This window comes from Homo sapiens, chromosome 1 (genome assembly GCF_000001405.40).
Source record: "Homo sapiens chromosome 1, GRCh38.p14 Primary Assembly".
In the NCBI taxonomy this organism is placed as follows: domain Eukaryota; kingdom Metazoa; phylum Chordata; class Mammalia; order Primates; family Hominidae; genus Homo; species Homo sapiens.
The window spans coordinates 154,819,969-154,845,038 of NC_000001.11; the positions used below are offsets into that span (position 1 = coordinate 154,819,969).

Consider the following 25,070-nt stretch of genomic DNA (forward strand, 5'->3'; position numbering starts at 1 on the left):
TTCAGATGGGGAAACTGAGCCCCAGAGTCAGGATTCAACACAACTGATTTCACTTTGTTTCTCCAAATTGTGTCAGGCCAAAATGAATGACCCCCAATAGCATCATCTACTGCCCATGATTAGGGCTGAAACAGAGATTGGCCATGAGCTGGACATGGGACAATGGGTACCCAGCCAGGTTCTGGGCTGTCAGCAACATGACCCTGCCACCAGGCCGGAACTGAGTCAAGCTGCAGCTGGACCAGAACAGGCTGAGAGCTAGGGCTGCAGGCCCTGGACTGGGAACAAGGACCTCAGGAGCATCAGAGGGAGGGACACCTGGCTCTACCCACCCCAATGCCTGGAGCAGAAAGAGGAAGTAATCAGGCCTAGCACCACCAAAGTGTGGGGTTGAGGCTGAGAACAGCTCCTCTTCTTCCCCTTCCTCAAGCCTGGGTCATAACTGAGTTTTATGGTTCTGCCTTTTTTCTTTGTTGTGTGTGACACCTCCCCACACAGGTCAGGGTGACACATAGTAATACAGTCTCCCTACAGATGAGAACATGAACACTGAGGGACTGCCTGGATCCCGCGGCTGGCTTTGGGTGGGGTGGAACCAGGCCCGGAGCCCAGACTGTCAACTTCTGTCCTGTCTCGATTCCGTGGCCCTAGTCCTCCCTGCCTGTACTCCTGGCTCCTTTCTGGGGCTGACTGGACAATGGTCTGAGTTAAAGTCCACCACTCTGTCCAATTCAGACTCCATGAAGGAAGCTGCCTGGTGGCATCTGGCACAGGCACAGCCCCTGTCCAAGCATCTGCAACCCTTTAGAGGCTGAAGAGTCCCAGCATCCAGGTCAGTATCCTCTAGTCATTGACAGAATGCAGCCCTGCCAAGGTGGCCTGGAGCCAAGGCTTCCATGTCCCAGCCAGCCACAGTGGCCCCTGACCTTCAGACAAAAAGCCAAGGCTCTCTAAGAGGAGGAGGCACTCCCACCTGCGTCCGCACTGCTGCTCCACCCTGAAAATGCCGAGTAACAAATGGGACTGGATTTGAACGGTGTTGTTAAATAGCGCTTCACAAAGCACTCTCCCATGCGCTCCTCATCCCATCCTCACAACAGCTCAGCAGAGCTGGAATAAAGGCCCCATGTTCTAGATGAGAAGATCGAGACCCAGGAAGGTCACAGGGCTGGCCAAAGACACACCAAGAAAAAAGGTCATGGCCGAGACTTGACCCCAGTTTTTCTGACTCTGAGCTCTGGTCTTCGTCAATCTCTCGCCTGCTGCCCAGATGTGAATCTATCTGTGCTCCTCCAGCCAAAGGACCGGGATGGTTTCCAGATTCACATGCACATGAGGAAAAACATCTGGATAGTTTAGAACTTCTCAGGTCCACAGCAGTGCAGGTCAGCCTGAAGGGCCGGGGGCTGGGGGAAGCTCATTGTCACCAGAAGATGCTTCAGATCTGTTCTCTCCTGTCTGACCCTCCTGGCCCGGGTTGAACCATCCTCCCTATGTCAGCCAAACTGGAAGTGCACCCTGGAGGCCCAGCCAATGTTTCTCTGGGTACCAAGTCACTCCTGGGCAGCAAGAAACAGAGGCCTTCTCGGCCACAGCAGACTCTTACTCTGTCTAGAAAATGACACCCCCAGCCTAGACCCACAAGGGTGAAGACCACACCATTCACAAAAAGCAGACTCCTTGGTGGAGTTTGGTGCAGCATATGTGGGGGTACACAAGGCAGGTCTGCCTCACTGAAGGGATGAACTGAGTGGCCCAAGTTCAGAAAGGACAAGAGACACAAAAGGCAGAGCAATGCATCAGGGGCTCTCCCGGTCCGATGGTGCTCAGTGAGGGTCCCGAATACGGCAGCCTCGCTCAACATGAAGCCCTATGTTTGCCTCTGGGATCCCCACTTTGAAGACAACTTAACAGTTATTCGAAAGCCACAGGGCGGCCTCGCAGTTTCCTCTCCCATTTGGGTCCAAACCAGAAGAGAAGAGCCACGATCTTGGGCACCGTCTTGTAAAATCACCCAAGTAGCTGCTAAGGGAGTGGGTTTTGGGGGTGGGGATGGGCTCGGCTCAGAGCAAGGCCAAAGGATCAGCCGCTGCATGAAGGGGTGAGGTGGGGGCACCTACCTGGACTTCACGTGTGTGGTAGGCGATGATCAAGCCCAAAAGGATGATGGTGGACAGACTGATAAGGCATTTCAGGGCCAACGAAAACATGGAGTCCTGCAGGAACAATGGAGAGAGAGAATTAGGGAGTGCGGGGAAAGGAGCGTCTCACTTTATTCTGCGGCTGTGTAAAAGAGAAGGGGTGGGGACACAGGAGGGACTGTTACCAGCCCCTCCTAGGAGCAGGTGTAGCACAAAGTCAGCCTGAGCCCCACAAAAGCCTTGGGCTGTGCCCGGGCCGGCTCTGTCTCAGCAGCTGCCCCCTTTGAGCCTCTGTTTTCTCGGGCTAAGTCGTATTTGCATTCCTGGGATGAACGCTACTTGGGCATGATGTATTATGTTTGTTATACACGGCTAGATTCAGTTTGCTGATGTGTTATTTAGAATTTGTGCTTCCATGCTCATAACTCATATGAACGTCATTCTTTGTTGTGCCGCTATTACATGGTTTGGGCATCAATATTACGCCAGCTTGGGCCTCTGTTTTCTCTTAAACCCAAACCAGAGGATTTCGGAGGCAGAATTCTTTCAGGAATGAATTTGAATGTCCCGGCAGCTGCTCTCATCTCCTGGCTTAGGCCAAGGGCAGGGGAGGGAGGCAGGGACGGCAGAGGAGCTACTGGAGAGAGAAGCCAGGAAGCACAGGAGCAGAGAGGGGTCCTGGCAGGAGAAGTACCCTGATGGTCCCTCCTGCTAGGGATTAGGTGGGGGAGGTGAGCCCCGTGGCCTCCACTGCAGCCTTTCAGTCCCAGGGCAGCTTAGAGAAACCGAGAAGTGTGGTTAAGGGCATGACCTCCGGGGCCAGACTGCTGGGTCCCAGCCCTGCGACAGCCATTTAGGGCTACCTGACCTTGGAACGCCCACTCCACCTCTCTGCACCAGCATGCCTCCTGTGTCAGATGGAGATAATATTCTGGACTACCTCACAGGGCTGTTGTGAAAATAAAGGAGTTAATGTATGCAAAGTGCCCAGAACAGTGCCTGGCCAAGTAAGTGTTAACTACCCTTATCATTTACTTTGCATCCTCTACAAATCAGGGTGTCTGGGTTGGAACTTGGTGCACCTCTGGGCATTTCGAAGCTGGAAGTAGAGATAGCTCCTAGTTCCAAAGGAAGGCGGGAACACAGCCCTGAGCAAAGGCAGCAGATGAGATCCAGGAAGCATTTCCAAGCAGTGACTGTGTGTATGGCGGCCCTGCACTTGGTCCTGAGTGGTGCACGCCACAAAAGAAACATTCCCTTCCTCAGGGAGCTGGTCATTAGAAGAATGATGCCTGATTTCTGGAAGGCACCTTACAGTTTACAAGGTGGTTTCACGTATTTGTTCTCATCCATCCTCACAACAGCCCTCGGCCTTTTACCTTATAGATATTACAGGCTGAGGCCCAGAGGAGGGTGGGTGGCTTGTGCCAGAATTCAAAGTCAAGGCCTCTGACTCGCAGTACAGAGCACTGCCCACAAGCCCTCAGGCACACTCTCCAATGGGAAACAACTTAGAAACATGGGAAGCATCCATTTAAATAGACCTAAATGACATCTTAAGACAACAAGGTAAGGTAGAGTATGATCAATTGCCAGAGTGAAACCTACAGTAGAGCTAGGGGAGCTCAAAGGAGGGAGGCCACTGTGGATGGGTCAGAGACAGCTTTCAGAGGCAGATGTGAGGAGCAGCTGAGATCTGTGGGGTGAGGCGGTATGTCCAATATGGCAACCACAAGAATGAGAGGAGGGCTTGGGACTCGAACCCAGGACTTCCAAGTGCCCAGGTCCATGCTCTCGGCCCCACTCTGTGTGCTGAGATGGAATGAAAGTGCTCTCCCTGATGTCTATTAATCTCCCCATTCATTTAATTGGTACAGTTCTTGAGGCCCACTGGAGATACAAAGAAAACTAATAAAGTAACTAATTCATTCACTCTTTCACAAAAATTTCAACCACTTCTCATTTGCTGAGCACTTGCTAGATATCCAACAGTGTGCTAGATTCTATATATACAGTGATATACACCAGAAGCTTCTGATCTGGCTTATTCACTAACTCTGACTTTCTACATTGCATGGGGTCGTCCAACTATGGGAAAAGGTCTCCATTATTTGCTATGCATAAGATGATCTACACATAAGCCAGTCTTCTTTTAGCCTCTTCATGTTCCACAGTTCCATAAGAGCAGCCTGCAATCATTTACTCAGCACACATGTATGGGGGCCTAAGGAGGGCTGGTGCTGTTCTGGTCCAACATAAGCACAGAGAAGGACAGAACACAGTGCTGGCCCTCAAAAATATTTTGATCTTCACAAGCACTTCCTGGTGCCTGAAATGCTACCCAACCACAAGACCCAGATGGGGCTGAAAAGAGCAAATGGTGAATTCAGGAACACTCAGACTGTATTAGGGTAAAACAAACCTCCCTACATCAATCAACTGGGGATCAACTGGGGACAGCTCACAATGTTTTCCATCCAGAAATGACCATAACTTTCTTTTCAAAGGGGTCTGAAAGCATCTGGGAGCATCACACCTCCCCGGGAAGGATTTGGGATCAGCTGCACATTTCAGCCCCTTATTTATTTCTTTTGGCAGCAATGAATTGACATCAGAATCCAAGTCTATTTCCATCATTTTAAAGGAAGCAGTGAAGGGAAAGGGGCCAGATGCTCTCTCCTTTGGGCCTCTTCCTTTTGTCCTAAAGCTCAAAACCTTTACATGAACAGGCAACTCCCACCTGCTTCTTGGTTTTGGCCAGTACAACCTCCCTGGCCAGCTCCAGCCCTGTGGGATGACCAAGCTGTGTGCTGGATCAACAGGGACTCTCGATATCTTACAGATTTCTTTGCATTCTCCATCGCATGTCAATAAAAAAAATTAACCAACCGCTTTTAATAGCTGGAAAACATGTCAAAGAAGTCTGGCTGAACTAGGAATGTTTTCTATTTGGTAAAATGTTGAATTAGCATCTTCTCTTTGCTGCCTGAACATCAGTGAAGCTTGAAATTGATATGGTTCCTTGGGGGATGGCAGTGACACCGGGCTGCCATACATCCCAGGATAGGGTACCTGCCACACGCATTGCCCCCACTCACTCCTATCTGAGGACCAATAAGGGGCTTGTAGAACAGAGGGAATCCAGCGGTCAACTGGTCAACCCTTCTGCCCCGTGACTCAGAACTTTTCAACACAGAGTAACAATCCTTAACACACAGGAATGCTTAGGAATTATATCCCATTTGATGAGAATCATTTTTTTTTTTTTTTTTTTGAGACAGAGTCTTGCTCTGTCTCCCAGACTGGAGTGCAGTGGCACGATCTCAGCTCACTGCAAGCTCTGCCTGCCGGGTTCATGCCATTCTCCTGCCTCAGTCTCCCCAGCAGCTGGGACTACAGGCGCCCGCCACTACACCCGGCTAATTTTTTTGTATTTTTAGTAGAGATGGGGTTTCACCGTGTTAGCCAGGATGGTCTCGATCTCCTGGCCTCAAGTGATCCACCCGCCTCGGCCTCCCAAAGTGCTGGGATTACAGGCGTGAGCCACCGCGCCCAGCTGAGAGTCATGTTTTAAAGTCATTTATTCCTAAATGCCCACAAATTTTCAAGTGGTTAAGTAGATTTGAGATCAGGCAGTGATGGAACACTACGCAGCCACTAAAAACACTTCTGCACACGGCCGTAATCCCAGCACTTTGGGAGGCCGAGGTGGGCAGATCACGAGGTCAGGAGATCGAGACCATCCTGGCTAACACAGTGAAACCTCATCTCTACTAAAAACACAAAAAATTAGCGGGACGTGGTGGCAGGCGCCTGTAGTCCCAGCTACTCGGGAGACTGAGGCAGGAGAACGGCATGAACCCGGGAGGCGGAGCTTGCAGTGAGCCGAGACAGTGCCACTGCACTCCAGCCTGGGTGAAGAGCGAGACTCCATCTTAAAAAAAAACAAAAACAAAAACAAAAACAAAAACAAAAACAAAAAAAACCAAAAAACACTTCTGCAGACAATATCTGAAGACATGGAGAATGGTTGATGATAGACTATTAAGTGATAAACTCAGACCCCAAAACGATATGTAGTATATTTCCAATTATTTCATTTTTAAGCTTTTTTAGTGTAGAAAAAGACTGAAAATATGTCAATAGAATTCCTAAGAGCTGCCTCCATCCATGTGGTCCCTGTTCTGCTCCAGGCCACGAGCCAGCCCTTCACAGATCTGTGATTTCTCATTGATGACAATAATCTGTAATAAAGCACATCTATAGGGGCCTACCATGCAAGGATGGCATTGTCAACCCACTCTTACAGAGGAGAAAGCTTAAGCTCTCAGAAGTTAGGTAACTTGTCCAAGGGCATGTTACCTAACTTCTCACCATGGCAAAGCCAGGATTTGCAAAAGCCAGGTTTTACACCCAGATCTGTCTGCCTCCAGGTTCCATTGCCCCGCCTGTGTCCCAGCACCCCACCTGCTCTGGCGGCCACGCCTTGCTGGCCCTCCAATATCTGCAGCGAGGCTTCTTAGAGCTGTTCCAGCCTTTCCTCCCCTGAGGCTGTGCAGAGGGTGATGGAGTGTGTTCCCCAGCTTCTGAGCCAGCCACATAAATTGCTCTCCTGGCCTGCCTTGTAGCTTCCAAAAACAGGCCAGAACTGTAATGATTATGGTATATCTTCCCAGAGACTTTGAAGTTCTAAATGTATTTTATTGTTTGGGTCATCGCAAAAAGGAGAAAGCTATGCTTACAGACAGAGACCTGGAGGGGCACTGAACCAAACTGAAATATTAGCTTAACTGAGATAATGATGCGCAGGCTCCTTCCCCAACCAAGCTGTTACCCACAAAGAGTATATGTGTATGGTTGTGTGTGTGTGTGTTTATACACATATGTGGTCCATTCACGATTTCTGTCACTGGCTGAAACCCCCAAAGGGAAAAGGTGATAGTATCTGAAGTTCATAATTTCTGAATTAAGGTCTGATGTGCCTGCCTGACATCACTATGTTTTGTGCATTCAATCTGGGAAATAATTGATTTAGAAATCTTTTCTATCTAATAAGGTCAACTTTTCCTTCAATTTCATGGAGAGGCTCCAAAATTGATTGATATTCAACATCGGCTTATGACTGTGGTTCTGTAATGGTTGTCCTAATTAGATACTCTTGCTAATTAATGCTATGCAAATTAAACCAGCCCCTCTTCCGCTAAAGGGAAGACCGCATCACTGGTCGCTGTTCTCCATGGAGACCTGAGGCTTCTTTCCCTCCACATCAGCACCAAGCCCTGGCCTTCCTCATTCCTCAATCTCACACTGTCCAGTTCTTGGGATCTTTCATTCTTACCCATCATCCTCAGCTCCTATCTTAGCACAGCCTCCTCCTCCCAGGTGCAGCACCCTAATTTAATTGCAAGCCCAGGCGTGGTGGCTCACGCCTGTAAGTCCAACACTTTGGGAGGCCAAGGCAGGTGGATCACTTGAGGTCGGGAGCTCAAGACCGGCCTGGCCATCATGGTGAAACCCCATCTCTACTAAAAATACAAAAATTAGCTGGGCATGGTGGTGCAAGCCTGTAGTCTCAGCTTCTCAGGAGGCTGAGGCAGGAGAATGGCTTGAACCCAGGAGGCAGAAGTTGCAGTGAACCGAGATCACACCACTGCACTCCAGCCTGGGAGACAGAGCAAGACTCTGTCTCAATAATAATAATAATAATAACAACAACAATAATAATAATAATTGCAGCTGTTGGCCCTCCCAGCATCCTCAGAGCGGCTTCCCAACCTGGCTCCTACCAGAAGTCAGCTAACAGAATCCTGTTTCAGTCACTAATGAATGAAGTGACAGAATGAAGTCACTCAGACCCTCTCTCTCCCAGGACTGTCCAACCTGAGACCGGGAGAGACAGCCGATGCTGTCACAGTGGGAAGGGAGACTCTGGGGACTCCAGAGGGCAGCTGGACCTCTGACCAGCCTGAGAAGGGAGAAGGGCCTGATACTTGCTAGCCAAGACAGCTCTGGAACAGAGGCCCAGGGTGTGCATCCGAGGGCGCAGGAGTCTCAGCCTCCTCCATAGTGAATGCCTGGCCTGGACAAGTTGCTTCCTTCTCCTAAGCCTCAGCCCCCAGTAAAATGAGACTCCTGGACAGAACCTTCTCCGAAGTTCAGTTAAGCCTGATGACCAAGGCGCCGAGCACACATGCCATGACAAACAGGTCATAGGGACATGTCCAACACTCATTCCTTTTTTTTTTTTTCTTAGGAGTTTTCTTTTCCCAGGCATTTCTGTGATGAAATGTTGGGTGTGAAACGGTCAGCCACAAAACCCACTCACACCATCTTCTCCTCAAACACAACAAGGCAAGCTTCCTATTTTTAGTCATGGGGGGGCTAACGAAGATGTTCCTTGTCTCTTTCTAAATAACATAGGATTTGAAACCAAAAGGCCAGAGTTCAAGTCATGTCTTTGCTACTAACTAGCTGTGTGACACTGGATCGGTCCTTTAACCTCTCTGGGCCTCTGGTTTCTTCTCTGCAAACAAGAACTACCCTTACTTTTCTCACAGCTGTTAGGGGATGAGATGAGATCATGCATACGAAAAATCTCATTCTGTTTTCACACAAAGAGAAGCATGCATTCCCTTGTAGTCAAACACCCCTTCTCTTGCCATACAGATGTCAGTGCAGGTAAATGCAGCTGATCCTCAGTCCGGAGCTGCTCACTGCACCCCCAATATCAGCATTTTATGGCTGCAATAATTTATAAAGATATCCCTGAGGCATTTCAGAAAGACACCTTTGCAATCCGCATAGCCAAACATTCATTCACTTGTGCATTCATACAACATATATTCACTGAGCACTTACCATGCCCAGGCACTGTGCTGGGCAATTGCCAAATGCCAGGGATTCCCCACCCGCTCCAACCCCAACCTGCTGAGCCTGAATCCCATCCAGGAGCTCCCAGGAGCTCATCCCAAGGGCTGCCCTCTGCACCATCATCGCCCCGTCACCTTGACATCCCATCCTGTCCCTCTTGGACACTCTCCCTGGCCTCTCTGTCCTGCCCACAGTGCAAGGTCAAGAAGAGATGGGCCAAGGGTCAGGTCAGGGGGCCCTGGAGGACACATCAGGCTGGGACAGCCAGGAATGGGCAGGAAGCCCAGGCTGAGGGAGAAAACCCACAAGTGGTTCCTTTGCGCTCGAGTGACCAGCTCTCTCCACGGCAGAGCTCAAGAATGGATATTAGAGGCCAAGCTCCAGGAACCTTTCCTGCCTGCCTGAGCCCACTGTGTGGGTGAGGACATCTTTACCACAGGTCCCAGGGGCTGGAGATGGGGCTAAACCTCACTGCCACCTTTTCTCCAGCCCAGTCACCTTCTTACATGAAGCTTCTGTTCTGGGCCCACCCCTCAACCCCACAGCCAGGGGATGCTTGAGGTGGATCCCCAGTGGGCGGAAAGCTGAGACAAGACCATCCACACTCTCCTCTCAGTCCCAGGAGCCAGCCAGGCATCATGAGCCAGCTGACCCGCATCAGGATGCGGGGTCTGACCTAGACCCGAGAGCAGGTGGCTCCTCAGAGCCCTGTCTTCAGTCCTCCTGTGCCCTCCTCAGCCCCCATCCCTGAACGGGGTCCATATACCCACCATCGAAGCTGGGAGCCATTACCTGCTTTAATAGTACACAGGGTAACCTCAGCACCAGGAACCCCGCTGGTCTGCCCTGGGCCCCACACCCTTCCCGAGGCTGGCCATGCCTGGTGTCTCCCATTGGCACTGCCCAGCTGGGGTGACCAGAGCACCTTTCACCATCTGACCCCATTTTCCCACTGATGTTGTTCTCACACCCCCACCAGAGTGTCAACCCCAGAGGGCAGGGAATTTTTACATTGCATTTGTTCACTCCTAGAGCCCCATGCCTAGAACACTGGTCTGGCACATAGTAAGTCAATAAATATTAGTTGAACGTTGAATATTTGAAGGAAGGGAGCAAAATTTTTGAGATATGTCAAGCAGGTAGACACTTCCATCCTGAATTTCCAAATTCATCAAAACTAAAGAGAGGTGATGAAAGTAACAGCTAACATTTATTATTCACTTACCAGAGGCCAGGTACTGTGCTAATTTCGTTAGGTCCTCAGAACAACCCATGGCCCCATTCTAGAGATGAGGGATCTGAAGCCTGGAGAGGGTCACATTCCCACCGTCCCTGGATGAGGAAGAGGTGGGGGCTAGATTCAAACCTGTGCTCTCACCACTGATCCAGAGGGAACCTCAGGAAGACAGGATGGCAATTGCCAGAACATCACCCTTGCAGGCCCTGCCCTTACCGGTCCCACCTGCTCTCTGAAGAAGCCCCCAGTTGTGTGGCTTTAGTGGTGTGATAGATGGTGAACAGACTGAGCTCAGGGCTTGGGGTCTTCACCGTCTCTGCAGACTGGGCCCGGCACGGGGAAACTAGGCAGATAATACTTGTGGCGTGAAGGAAGCCAGTGGTCTCGACACAAAACTCATAAAGTCAAGTTGCCCTGGAGCATTTCCCTGGATCTCTACGTTGCCACTCCCAGAAGGAGACGGAACCTGATGTCTGAGGGACATCATGCAGTTAATAACAAGGGCATTCAGGTCTGAGCAGAGGGTGGCCTACTAATTTTTAGTGAAGCCAGCATGATGACCAGGACACCAATTAAGAGAAAATGATCCTCCCCAGGCCCTGGCTCTCCCATTGTGTGATGTCCCAAGGAAGGCAGAAAAAGGTCATTTAGGAGACCACGCTCCCAAAATATCAAGTCAGACGGGGCACCCCTTCAGGCCACAAACATAATTCCAATTAAGGAGATGGTTTCCTTTATAAGGTCTGGGCAGAGGGGAACTGGCATATCATGAATTCTCTACTGCATGCTTGCTTATAATTTATTTTCCTGCCCCACTTACAATATTGGCAAAGATTCCATGCGATTCAATCAAACTTTTTATTACATGTTTGCCATGTGCCAGGCACTGTGCGGGAGGTGGAAACATACAGGATGAGGCCTTTTTAAAGGCAGTTTGGTCCTTGCTGCTCCTAAGGTAGCCAAAAGCTGGCCCACCTAGGATTCTTGCAGACACAAAGCAAGCACTTAACAAGTGTTTCTTGGGTAAATGAATATGGAACGGTAAATACAGACTTAAACCTTTGGGCTCCATACAAAGGCAGAATGGGAGCAGAAGGGTTTGTAACTCCCCACCCCTACAGGGAGGATGGAGGTGGGATGGAAGCCCATCAAGCACCAATAGCCCGGGTCCTTGTAGAACTGAGGGGCTTGGCACCACCCCAGAGCAATTAAATTGGAATCTCTGCAAGTGAGGTCTCTGCACTAACTTTTAAAAAAAGATCTCAGTGAATCTAATGTGCGGGCCAGAAATGAGAATTGCTGTTCTGGGGCACAAAGAAAGAAGCCAGGAGGCTGGGGTTGCCCTCACAGCTCTGAGACACTGTGAAACAGACAGTCATACACACAAGCAATGGAGCTTAGAAGCCATCTAGTTCAGTGCCCCATGAGTCTCCTAAGATTTCTGGCACATGGCCATCCAGTCTCTGCTTGATTTTCTCCAGGGGTTGGAAACTCACTTCCTCTCAATGTAGCCCTGGAGAGACTCTATTTTGGATGGCTCTTTTTCAAAGATCTGCCTGCAGTGCTTGGTCCCAGTGAAACAAATGCCTCTGTGAAGACCTGCTCTGACTTTAGCATCCCGGTGTCTATGTCAATGACTTTGACAAGTGAGCCTCTCCCTGGGACACACACTCATTAACGTACAGAACACCAGGAGATCAGCTAGTTCCCCAACCCTCATTCTCCACGATGACACTGAGGCTGCCTTGCCCCCATCATACAGCATCCTGGCTTGGAGAAAACTTTAGAACCCAGGTGTTGGGGCTCCCGGCCTATGCTTACAGGGGCAGGCAGCCCGGCCCACCCTGCTTTTCATACTAACGGAAATATAACAACCGGTCCCTGAATTCATCTGTTCTCCAAAAGCCTGTATCCCTATCCTGGAAGTCACCTCCAAGACTGTCACTTAGTCACTGTTTCCTTCTCCAATAAAAAAATGGGCTCCTGATGAGCTTTTAGCCTCCTCTGCTTGTGGAATGTGAGTGCTCTTGGCCAGTTAGCAATTACATTACTCTTGTGGTGTCAAGAAGTCCCTACAGCCTCCTCTGGCTTTGATGAATGCGTACCTGCCACTATGCATCAGGTTCTGAAGGTCCTGACACCATACCTTTATCTCAGGAGAACTGTATAGCATACTGAAGGTTCCTAGTCCCAGCCCCCAGATCTGTCCTGGCATCCAGGGTGTACAGAGTTACAGTGAAACACTTAACCTTTATTCACCCTCCTAGCGCCTCCCAGAACGCTGGTCAATTTGCCATCACCATGAGGGGTTCACCTAGCAAATATTTACTGCTCCACCTGCCAAGGATCTGGCCCCCATATTTCATCCAGATTGCAGGAACCCCCATTTTCTTAAATGTTCTAGAATATTTGAAACAAATAATTGTGCTTTCTGGATGGCTTGCTTTGAAGTAGTTTTGCTTTCTCTTAGTAAAACCTATCTGGCTCCCAAATGAATAAAACAGCAGGAAATCACTTTGCTCTACAGAAAGCTGTGGGCTCCCTGTTAGACTGGGTTGCTGACTAGAACCAAACCAGCCTAGCTGGGCTTGTCCCAGGCCTGGGCTTCCCTTTCCCCATCCTGCCCCAGCCATCGCTGACAAGACGCACAACAGATTCCCAGATTCTCTGCAGGAGCTGTGGTCAGCTAATTACAGGGAACTGGCTACATTCATTTCAGATGGCTATAACTTGAAATAATGTTGATTTTCATCACCTGATAGCCACAGAGAGGTATGTGGGTTTTAAAGACACAAAGCAAGGCCTACAGACAACTCCCCACCCTGGGTCTCTCAGCCTTATCACCCCTCCAATTGGCCTTCCCCCTTTCCTCCCTCCAGCCCTTGCCTCTGTCTGCACCAGAAGCTGCTGCAACACTAGGGCCCCAGCTGAACCTTCCAACTTCGTCAGAGAATTCCAAAATGGAGAAAACCACTACTACCCACCTGATGCTCAGAGGCAAACCCATTTCCATCCCCACACTGGGCAAAATCATCCCCCAACCCCGGCAATGTTTGGGCCAAATGAAAATTTTTAAGACACCCAGAAATCACATATGGTGAGAAAAACAACCGCCTGCAGGCTCCACAGACATCTCTGGAGGCTGTTCTGGAGTTTCCCAGATAAAGAACAGCCTCGTCCGTGTTTCCCAGCCATGCTTCCAGGCTTCCCGGAGTTGCCAGCATTCTGAGGGCAGCATCACCTTCCTTCCATTTCCACACCCACGGCCTTGCCAACAAACGTGAGACAGTGAGTCCTCCACCCAACACTCGACTTAGCTGGAAGAGGCCTTCTAAGCCATCAAGTCTGACTCCCCGATTCTATAGGCAAGCAAATTAAGGCCCAGAGAGGGACTCTGGCCTACCCAAGGCCACACACCAGTAACAGAAAGGGCTGATAATGCCCTAAGCCTTCCAAGGGTGGGGCTGGTGTTCTGCCACATCCTCACTCTGCCCATCCACCAGCTTGAACACTGTCTGAAAGGGACAGGCCCCTGTCTTAGTCCTCTCTCCACCCCTCTGCAGCTACTCAATTCAGGTTTGGGGAGTGAACATTTCCTCCATGCCTCATTCAAGGACAAATCAGGAGAAACAATAATTACCTACTCCAGGTTCTCTATCTTCTTTTGGCTTAACAATACAAAAGCTTAAACATAAATAAAGGGAAATGGTCTGGAAAAATAAAAACCAGTTGGCATGGAACTATTGGCATCTCAGTGCGGCATAAGAAGTAGAAATGCTGTTTTTCAGAAACAGCACAGCCGTGAGTTTCCTAACATTTGGCACAGGTTTTTCAATTGTTTGGATGTGATGGACGATGTTGATAGAAGTGGTGGAGACCAAACACAGGCTATTAATAGACCAAACATGGCACTTGTATAATTCTTTCTCTCTCTCACTAGCTCTCTGGCACCAGACTGCTGCCAACCTGCCTACCTTTTACTTTGAGGTGCCATGAATTCCAGCAATGGGGCACGACACGAGCCCCACTGCCTGCCCATGTCCAAGCATGTTCATCTGAGAGCCTGGAGGAAGGCTGGAAGCCACACACCAACGTGGGCCACCAGCCTGTACAGGGCTTCAAGGAAACTGCAAGATGCAAAGACTCCTTGGGTGCTGGTCCTGCCTATCACGGGGCATGCAGTAGAGTCTCCCAAGTAGACTATCCATGGTCTAGGGGGGGTCAGGGAACCTCCCAATTCCTCCATGTGGTTATTTCCTCCATTTCTTTCTCCAAGAACATGAGGCAGCCCCATCTCAAGGCGGGAGCTCATTCCACACTAATTGATTCAAGTTAGAGCCATTTCAAGGCAGAAGGATCTCCATGGTTCCCCTACAGGTGTTGCCTCTAGGAACTCTCCACAGATTCAAACTCTACAAGGACTTACTGAGTACCTGTTATATGACAGGCTCTGAGTCTACCCATCCATCTTCATATAAACTCTCACTTAATCCTCACAGGAAGGAACTGTCCCCACTTGACAAATGAGAAACTGAGGCACGGAATGATTATACAATTTGCCAAGATCACACAGCTGAACTGTGGGAGCCAGACTTGAAACACACAGCTTCTGATTCCAAGCCCAGGATTGGTAAGGACCGCAGCACAGTCCCGGCTGAGACCTACACCCTGAGCTCTTCACGGAGGAGGTCGCTTGTTCCTGCTCCACTGAAGCCAGATTTGCTACTTCTTTCCCCCTGAGCTGCACTTGTTTCCACATCCCCAGAACTCCCGGTCCTGACCAGCTGTCCTCTACCTGCATGGGGTCAGCCACCGAGGAAGCCAGGCCAAAGACTAGAGCTGGACCGTTTGACACCATCACCATCTTTAACATCTATTCAATGAGACTAAAAAATCCTTTCTTCCTTCCAGGGTTGTTGTGAGGAAGAGCAGATAATGAACGTGAAAATACTCTCCCAGTCGAGGGTTCCCACGGGCTTAAAACAGCCTATGCAGAGGGTGGCGATACATTCGGGTTTACCCAGGAGAGTCCAGTGTATGCCTGTTATCTGGCATAATTATTACTATGAATGGTAATCATTAATATAATAATCTCAAAAGTGTCCCAGTTTAGACAATGAATCATATGATCACCCTATATATGTAGTATTTGCTGCCAAAGGGTCTGAGAGAATTGGGGCCCCCTTCCCGCCCTCTGCCCCCACACCTGCCAGCTTCCACACCCACTATGTGCACTCCATTAGCAGACACTTTGCCAGGCTCATGGGCAGACATCATTCTGCTGGATCAAAGCAATTGTTAGTAGACAGTATTTTTAGCAAGGTGGTGTCACAGTGCCTGGATTAATTGCAATTAATTATATGTCACTCCTTTAAGGTTTATTTCATCAATTATGGACAATCACGGCCATGTGCCTTGCTTGCTTTAACCCTTGGTGACTTGAATTTCTTGGCACAGAGGAGGCTGTAACCATGGAAAAGGCTGAATATCAGAATATATTTGCTACTGAGTCACTGTGTCCTGGATGTCAGTTTAGGGCTTTCCTGTTTACAAAGCATTTTCTTGCACAGTTTCCTATTTGATGCTGGGAGGTAGAGAGGACCACTCCTAACCCACAGATGGAAAAACTAAGGCTGGGAGGATTTAAGCAATTACCCAAAGCCATACAGTTAGGAAACCCCACTCTTCTAACACAGGGTTGCCAAAACATTTCCAAGTCTTCTGTATAGACTGATGAGTGTGACCCTCTGGCATCAGTGGTCAGATAGCCCCATGGCCAGGCATGGGGACAGGATCTGAGGGCGTCTGGAGGCAGACTTGCCAGGGAGGAGCCAAAGGCACCTGACGCATGTCTGCCAGGCAGAGCAGCCCTTACCTTGAGCATTTCAAGTGGCCCTAATGTCAAGAAACTCCAAGAAGAATGTGTCCGTGCCAGAAAAATATGCAAACAAGGACACCCAGCACCTTCCTTCTTTGAGTGTTGAGCAGCCGGAAGAGCAGCCAGAAGGTACCTCGTACAAGTGAGGAGATGGTAGGACTCCCACAGTACCCCTGGGTCCCTCTTGCTGTTGTAATAGGAGGAGCCAGAGGAACACCCCACCTGATACTCGACTGGCCTTAATTTGGGCTCCTGCCCCCCGTCTATTTTGCCCTGCACCGGTTACAGAATATTAGTTCTAAACAGATCTCTGAGCTCCCCTAGTCCAAAGCCTCGTTTTACAGATGGAGAGACTGAGACCCCAAGCAGGGAATGCCCCATCTCCGACCCCACTTGCCAGGGCAGAGCTGAGCAGGGACGTGGGCCTCCCCTCCTGTGGGTTCTTGCTGACTGTGGCTGGGAGTCTCAGCTGGGAACTGGGGTGCTGTCTGGAGCGTTTCTCTCACGGGAAAGTTTGCTGCGTCTTTTCTTCCATCCCTCTTTCTTACCTCCACCCTTGTCTCACTCTCCTCACCCACATTTCATCCCTCTCGCACTATTCCTGTTTTCCGGGACCAGGCTTTAAGATTGTCAGCTAAAGGGGCTAGGTCTGAAGGAAACTCGGCTGGAGCCCGAGAGCCGCCGCCCCTGGGCTCCCTCTGAGTGGCCCCTCCAGGCTCAGGGCTGCTTCATGGCACAGTCGGGGTCCTTTCTGTCTCTCTGCTCCATCACCTCACAGAGGACTTGGCACACAGTAGGCACTCAATAAATACTTGATGAATGAATGAAGGGATGCTACCCTATGGCCTGTTCCCAAGAAGAGGAGAATCGTGCAAAATCACTTCCCTGCAGGCCCCATCATCTAGGTGGGGAACAACACTTCCAATTGTGGGGAGAACTCCATCAACTTTTGTTTCCTCGTTCCACTGACTAAACAGATACTTATTTGCTTAGAACCCATTGTTTAAGCCTTTTTTTTTTTTTGAGACAGAGTCTTGCTCTGTTGCTGGGCTGGAGTGCAGTGGCACAATCTCAGCTCACTGCAATCTCTGCCTCCCAGATTCAAGCAATTCCCCTGCCTCAGCCTCCTGAATAGCTGGGATTACAGGCGCACGCCACCACCATGCCCGGCTAGTTTTTTGTTTGTTTGTTTGTTTTTCATTTTTTGTGTTTTTCTTTTTTTTGCATTTTAGTAGAAACAGAGTTTGACCATGTTGGCCAGGATGGTCTCGATCTCCTGAGCTCGTAATCCACCCGCCTCGGCCTCCCAATGTGCTGGGATTACAGGCATGAGCCACCGCGCCCAGCCTATCTACATGTAACAGCTGTGATCAAAGACCTAGGAAAACAGCCAACCCAGCCAACTCCTCCTCCTGGTTCCTCACCCTGGAGGAGCTCTGGGCCCGAGAGCACAGAAGCTAGGAAGGCAGCAGAACGAGTGATGCTTATGGGGGAAAACCTGGCTTTCCACCCACAGCTGTTTCAAGGCGTCCTGCAGAAGTGGGTCTGGGGGTCCCTGGGCAGGAAGAGCCAGTCTGGGGCTCCCAGGCATCCACTGCCGGTGATGACACACTGAGCTATCAAAGCTTGGGTCAGAGCAAAGGAAAAAGCTCACACCAGCCAAATGCACAGACATCTCACAGATGTCACGGGCTACCAGGTGGCAACCCCGAAGCAGCTGCCTCTTGTCACGTGGGGGCCAGGTGGGTGGGGATTTTGGCCCAAGGGGGTGAACTGTCTCACTGAAGAGACACAGCTGGGCCCAGCCAGGGCTGTGTGCCGTGGGGAGCCAGGTGTGCTGAGGTCAGCGGGGAGGAAGGCGCTCTCGCAGGGCTGGAAGAGGAGAAGCCAGGCAGGCCTGAATTACGAGGGCAGGAGTGCACATGCTTCCTGGAGGACTCACCCCTCTCCCTCCAGCTGCCACCAGCTGCTGACCACGGTGGGACAGCCAGCTGACAGGGGTCAGGCGGCCAGAGGTGGATGGACAAGTACAGAACAGAGAGTGTGGGGGCCAAACAGGAAGGCGGCCACGGGTGTGGAGAACGTCAGGGCTAAGACAGACCTTAGAGTCTTTGCATCTTACAGGTCAGGACCCTGAGGCCTCGACTTGGCCAAAGTCACCCAGCTGCTAGATCCAGATCTAGAATTTAGAGCTAGAGCCTAGCTCCTTCCCCTACTCCCGGGCTCCTTCTGCTATACCATGTAGATTCCATAGCAAGTAATTTAAGACACAAATCGTGCCATCCCACTCCTTAAATCCCTTCTGCGGCTCCCCACAGCCTCTGGGATGAAGGCAGACCCCCTAAGCAAGGCATGATCTGACCCCTGCCTGCCTCTACAGCCCCATATCTCATACTCACACCATAAATTCTAGCCATACCGAGTTGCTCACACTCCTTCAAAATGCACTAAGCTTTCGTTTCCCTCAACCTTTCCATGTGCTTGCTGGGCCGGGAACAACCTCCCTGCCTTAGCCTTTCCCGTTCCCAGTCAACCTTCAGGACCGGCTCCGTTCTCGCCACTCCCACCACCCTACCCTCCAGAGCTGCCTCCGCCTCTGCGCTTCCTCCACCCTGTCCCTTCAGGCCTCTTCGGGAGACAATTCTAAGTGCGTTGAGCATCTGCTTACCAGGCTGTGAGCTCTTTGAGTGTGGGAACCAAGTCTTTGTCATCTTTCTGTTTCTCCCCCACCCCCAGCACCTTGCACAGTGCCTGGAATGTGAGAAAAACTCCATTAATGTTTGTGGAATTAATTATCAAATTAAGGAGTGAATGAAGCCTGGGCAGCTTTGACAGTACCTTGTTTCTCCCGAAGCTACTTTACCTACAGAAGGGCCAGTGCCACTCAGGACATCTCTAACCGCTGATCTGCCTTCTGCTCTCCCTCCCTCCCCATGTTGGAGGGCAGTCGGGTCACTCCATGGGAAAAACAGCAACTGAGATACAGGGGACCCAAGTAACACCCCCAGTTGTGGTGCTGACACAGGTCGCTGTGTAGCGATGGCAAAGCAGCTGAGATGGTGACTGAGTTCACTTATCCATGAAATGAGTGCATAACCACGTGCCCACCACCATCGAGTGACCTGCGATCTGCAGACCTCAGGAAGCAGGGCGCAGTTGTGCTCCCTCCACCCCCATCACTGCTCCAAGGCTCTGCGTACCTACACCAGAAGGGGAACAGATCCCATAGCCCAAAGGAGCACTGAGCCTCCAGGAGACCCTTTGGAGGCTCTGGTAATGTGATTTTAGAGACCATCTGTCTTCCAAATTCTGTTTTCCCTGTACAAAATACAAACAAGATACGACACCTGATTTACATCCCCTAAGCACCACCAGCTGATAGGGAGGAAAGGTCCCCATGCAGTGAGACAGCAGCAGGGACGAACGTGACCTGGGTTTGGAAAAGACACTACAGGCAATCCACAAAGTGGATAATCCACACCTGGCTGACGAAGGTTTGGCCCAGGCACAGAGAGTGCTCCACAGTGAGTGAGGGTTGCTGGACTCAGACCCCCGCTCAGCTCTCACTCGACAAGGCTGAGGACCTCGCCTGGGGCAGACTCGGCCACAGAGCATCTGAGCCTTTCTAAAGCAGTCCTCAGCCACCCCCAAGAGCCCTTCTGGGGGCCCTGGCCACTGGCCACTGGTGGAAGTGTTTTGAATGATGGAGCGCAGAGACAAACACAGACGGGACAAGGTGCCAGGAGCCACATACCAGAGCTGCTTCTCAGAGCTGCAAATGGCTCTCAGATGACACCCCAGCTGCTAGCTCCTTGCCAGGGGCAGGGTGGGCAGAGAGGCCTGCAGAGCAGGGGCTAGGTCACAGAGCTGGGGGGAGGGGCACAGGGAGTCAGGGATTTCTAAGACTCAGACTGGGAACCTAGCAGGAAAGGCACTGGAAATTGTACTTACTCCATTTGGTTTGTCTATTTGTCTCTTGCAATTTATCTAGTATTTCCTAAAAGGTCACTGGGTGGTGATTTCAATAATGTAAAATTTGTAGAGATGCTCTAAAAGAAATGTACAAATTTCACAGGTTTACACTGGCTTAAAAGCAATATATTTTATTAAAAGTGTCTATTCTAAGTGCACTTTGGATAGGATTTGGAGACTGATTGGTTAGAGATTCAAAAGGCCTTGTGCTATTAAAAGATCCACTGTGTTTTTGGGGTGGTAAAAAGAAATAGAAATCAAAGCATTTGCAAAGGTATGGTTGGTGGATGGAGAAAAAGCGGCGTGTGAGATCACAAAATCCTTTGTCACCTCACAGTCCCCGAAGCAGGGAGCTGGGAAAGAAAGATGCTTATTACAAGCAGAGGGCCAGGTTTCCTGCGAAGGCTTCCGTGTCCCAAAATCTCACAAGCCGCTTCTCACTTTCCTCTCACCGCTCCTCATTAACTGAAGCCAATCCTTGTCATTCAAAGGAAAATAAACAGGGAGCAACTGCCTGCAGAGACAAAGAGTCCTCATATCGGGACAAAACGGCTTCTCCAAGCAGACACCTTTTCCCTCAGCCCCAGTCAGAATTCTCTATTTCTTTCCAAACAGCAGAGCCATTTCCTTCCTGTCAGCCCAGTGATGCACAACTTCCTGTCAGGACAGCTGAGGAATCTGGAGAAATGTGTCTTCCCTCACAGCCTCTGCTCAGGTTTGCAGGGCCTCAGACAGTACCAGGGAGCAGAGTGGAGAGCTCCAAAGAAGCAGCCCCTCCCACGCCTCTGCCCCCACCAACGCCCTCCCCGGATCCCCCAGGTCAGGCCACCGAATCCAGACTGAGTGTGTGCACCGCACCCTGCCATCTTAGGCTTCTGTCTCCCAGAAGCCTTTGTGGGAACCAGCATTTCCATTCCCAAAGCCACCAGGTGGAGACCAGGGGCAGGCCTGCCCCTGCGGGGTCAGGCCCCGACCTAATCAGGACCCTGGGGCCTGTCAGAAAGACTGAGGCCTGCCCTAGGGCTGCAGAGATGGTGAGGGCGCAAGGGAGGGTCTTTTCCGGGTAAAGATGGGCCGCTGACAGCCCCCTTAGGTCAGCACTCTGGCAAACCCACTGTGGTATAAAAATAAAAACCTCAGTCCCACAGACTCCACATTAAATGGAGTGAGAGGCAGGGAGATGAACACTGAAATAATCACCTCCATTTAGTAAGCGCTCTCCACGTGTCTGCATTCTTCCTTTAATCCCCAACAAACCCTGGGACAGTGGTTCCCAAACTTTGCGGCACATTAGTATCACCCAGGGAGCTTTTTAAAATCCCCACACCCAGGTTGCACCTCAGGGCAGTGACATCAGGTCAGAAGCTGGGAGCCAGGCATCAGCATTTTTTTAAAGATCCCCAGGGGATTCCAAAATGAAGCCAAGTTAGGGGACCACTGAGCAAGGCACTGTTCGTACCTGTTTTATTAATAAGGAGATTGAAACTCAGAGAGGTTAAGTCGCTTGCCTAAAGCCACACAGCTTCTAAGCAATAGAATTAGGCTTCTGGTTCATGCCTGTTATTCCATCACAGAGCCCCCCTCACTCCAAACTTTCTGCAGAAAGTTGTTCAGCTCTATCTACCAGGTATTGTCTCCCTACTACATCCCCATCCCCGAATGAGAGCACCTGCAGACATCTTTGCTTGCTAGCAGGAGTAAGGATGAGATGTGCGAGCCGAAGGGGCTGTGCAGGGCTGGGGAGAGCGGGCTGAGTGTGTGCAGATGGCCTATTGGGAGGTCATGGGATCGGCAGGTTCTGCTCCTTCCTCATCTGACAATGCCATTTAAGTTCTCTCCAGAGCAAAGCCTTGGCCTGGCCTAAGAGGATGGCCAGGTGTGAAGGAAACGCACGCGAGAGTGTAGCCACGTGGGTGAGCGAGGGCACGACAGAGGTGGTGAGGATGGCACACAGCCTGGAGAGGGCGAGCCCAGGGTAAGGGGTGAGGGGAGACCCCCGGGAGTGCTCCAAACCAGAACCTTGGGGGATTGACCCACTTCTTGCTGCCTGTGTGACTTGCAGCAAATCACTTCCAGTCACTGGGCCTCAGATCCCCTCTTTGCCCTGCAATGGGGTGGGACCCTATGGTCCAGAGGGTTCTCCCACCCTGGCCTCCACAGTGATCATGGCGGCCCCCTTCTTGGGTGTGAGCAGGTGCGGGTGTGGGAGCAGCTGTGGCCTCATCCCAGGCAGGGTCCACACACAGTTCAGGCACCCACAGAGCCCTGGCTCTCAGAGCTGTCTGGCCAAGACAGGGAGGCCAGTGCACCTATTGAACATACAGGCCGAGGAGAGGGGCCCTGGGGCAGCACCCCACACTTGACCTTCCTGAGTGTCCCAGCCATGACCTCCTGAGCTTCACATCACCTGGTCGCACCCCAAAAGTGGGGCAGAAGGGGGCTATAAGCAACTGGGATTTAAAGCCCCTACCCCTCACCCCAGCCCACTGACCTGCAGCCTCCACTGGCTGCTTCCCTAAGTGCCAGACAGAATCTGGTTTCCCTCCTGTGGCTCATTCAGGGACCCCCCCCCCGCCACCACCTCCTCTGTGAGCTTTCCCCGGCCCTCCCTGACATAATTAAATGCTCAGTGCTACTTCTGTGCCTGGTTCCAACCTCTCCCCTTGCATATATTACACTACACTGTGCTCACCATCTGTTTACACTGCTGTTACCATCAGGGCCTCAAGGGAAGAGTCCGGTTTGACTCAACAGAGGCAGCAAAGCATCACGGTCTGCAGAAGGGGCTTTGGAGTCCGAAGACCTCACTTAGAGCCCCACTTTGCCACTTCCTCGCCATGTGACCAAGCCTCAACTTACTCATCTATAAAATGGGGCAGTAAGAGTAGTGACCTCATAAAGTTGTCATACACATTACATGAGATGACACGTGTAAATAAGTGGCTTAGCGAAGGACCTGACACTTATAATAGGAGCTCAATAAATGACAGCTATGAGTGCCTTCATATCTCTGACACCTAGGGCCTAGCACAAGCCCAGCCCATAGACATAGATGCTGAAGAAGTATGTTGAAATAAGCTGAACCCCAGCCTGTTTGTAGCCTTGACGGTCTGCTTGGCCTCTCCAGGAGCTAGATATGGTCCCTGCCCCTCCCACCTCCCAACCAGGGCTGGCTCCCTGCATCCATCCACCCTGCAGAACAGTTCCCCTCCCCAGAACAAGAAGCTGCCCCATCCAGGTTCTAGACAAAAAAGCCAGCTGCCTGGCTCTCCACAGCTGGTTCCCAGCGTCCCTTCAGCTTGAGAGCCCACATCCCCGGGCTTCCAGGCAGCACCCACTGAGCTCAAGCCTCAAGTATCCTCAGTCCCAGCCTCAGCCCTCATCAAATATTTTTTTTAATAGAGATGGGGTCTGGCTATGTTGTCCTGGCCTCAAGCAAGTCTCCCACCTCGGCCTCCCAAAGTGCAGGGATTACAAGTGTGAGCCACTGCGCCCGGCCCCTCATCAAATCTGAAGTCCCAAGGTTAGCGAGTATGCAGGGAGGCTGGGAGAGAAAAGCAAGAGGCCCCTTACAGCAGAGGCTGAAACCTTTTAAAGCAACAGTGAGAAACGCTGAGAGAGAAACCAGGCGGGGTAGGTGGGGAGTTCTCTCCCGGAGACTCCTTCTCACCCTTGCTTCCCACAGAACCCAAGAAAAAGGCACTTGGCAATAGTTACAATTCCAGACGGCACTTAACGAAGTCCAATGCCTCAGCAAGACAGACGTTTGGAGAAATAATGACCCAGGGGACTTTCAGGGAAGGCTGTCTGGACATGGAGGGGCGGCTGTGAGATTTAATGAAGCCAGTTCTACACAAGAGTCCAGCACAGGGTGCGGTGCCCCTGCCTCGGTGACTGCCCCGAAAGTAGGAGGGGGGGCTGCACAGCCAGGCCACAAAGGGCAGACACCAGGCCAGCAGGGGAAGGCCAAAGAACACACCCTCGGGACCAGCAGGGGCTTGCAGAAGGGGACTCCACCCAAGGGAGCAAATGAATGTCCCCCGTTACACACAGATCTGGGCAGACGCCCTCACCCTCACTCCTTCCCCTCCCCAACCCTCCTCCAGCCCCTCCATTATGCAAATCAAGTGACTACACAGATTTGCATAATTCATGCATTATTAGTACGCGTTCTTGTCAGGCTTTTAGACTTTATAAAGCAATTTTGCTACCTTTAATGGAGAGTAAGAGACAAGGTTCTAGAGAGAGATTTTCTGTCCTTCTTTCATTAGACATGAAAACAGTCTCTAAATCTTAAGCCAGGGAGAGAGTCAGACAGAAATGAAGTGACTTAGAGTTGGAAACATGACCAAACACCTCGTTGACACTTGGTGTCAAAGGCCTGGGTGCCGGGCATCGCGCCGGTCACACATCCTGTCAGGCCTCTCAGGCACTCAGACCATGGAGTAGTCCCCAGTGGGGCAGACGTTATTATTGGGAAGTCACTCCAGGTTCCTGGGAGACTCAGTAACAACAAAACCCCCACTCTGGGTTTGTATCGCTTTTTTATATTTTACAAAGGGCTTTCGCTCTGCTATCTTACTCAGCGCCCACAATAAGGCTATCGGGTTGGAAGGGCCACATTTTTACCCTCATTTTAGACATGAGGAAACTAGGGGGCCAGTTGCAGTGGCTCATGCCTGTAATCCCAGCACTTTGGGAGGCTGAGGCGGGTGGATCACCTGAGGTCAGGAGTTCAAGACCAGCCTGACCAACATAGTGAAACCCCGCCTCTACTAAAAACACAAAAATTAGCTGGGCATGGTGGCGGGCACCTGTAGTCTCAGCTACTTGGGAAGCTGAGGTGGGAAGATGGCTTGAGCCCAGGAGGTGGAGGTTGCAGTGAACTGAAATTGTGCCACTGCCCTCCAGCCTAGGCAACACAGCCAGACCCCGTCTCAAAAAACAAAAAAAAGAGAGAGAAAAAAAACTG

At 50.9% G+C, this 25,070-nt stretch overlaps 1 protein-coding gene across 5 annotated transcripts in view, besides 2 other annotated features; it reads right to left on the reverse strand.

Moving 5' to 3' along the window:
• The window catches only part of KCNN3 (potassium calcium-activated channel subfamily N member 3), a 172,827-nt gene that overhangs the window by 122,514 nt on the left and 25,243 nt on the right, over positions 1–25,070 (reverse strand). For all 5 annotated transcript variants that reach the window (NM_002249.6, NM_001204087.2, NM_170782.3 and 2 more), the window contains exon 2: positions 2,121–2,216. In NM_002249.6, coding sequence (NP_002240.3) covers positions 2,121–2,216 — 96 coding nt within the window. The remainder of the gene's footprint in view (positions 1–2,120; positions 2,217–25,070) is intronic.
• Positions 20,409–20,910: an enhancer, noted in NCBI's record as "H3K4me1 hESC enhancer chr1:154812853-154813354 (GRCh37/hg19 assembly coordinates)". NCBI's record gives its function as "activates a minimal SCP1, AML or CMV promoter by ChIP-STARR-seq in naive and primed H9 embryonic stem cells {active_cell/tissue: H9 hESC(naive and primed)}" and the evidence as "EXISTENCE:reporter gene assay evidence [ECO:0000049][PMID:30033119]".
• Positions 20,565–20,859: an enhancer, noted in NCBI's record as "tiled region #6464; HepG2 Activating non-DNase unmatched - State 21:Repr, and K562 Activating non-DNase unmatched - State 21:Repr". NCBI's record gives its function as "activates a minimal TATA promoter and a strong SV40 promoter by Sharpr-MPRA in HepG2 and K562 cells {active_cell/tissue: HepG2 | K562}" and the evidence as "EXISTENCE:reporter gene assay evidence [ECO:0000049][PMID:27701403]".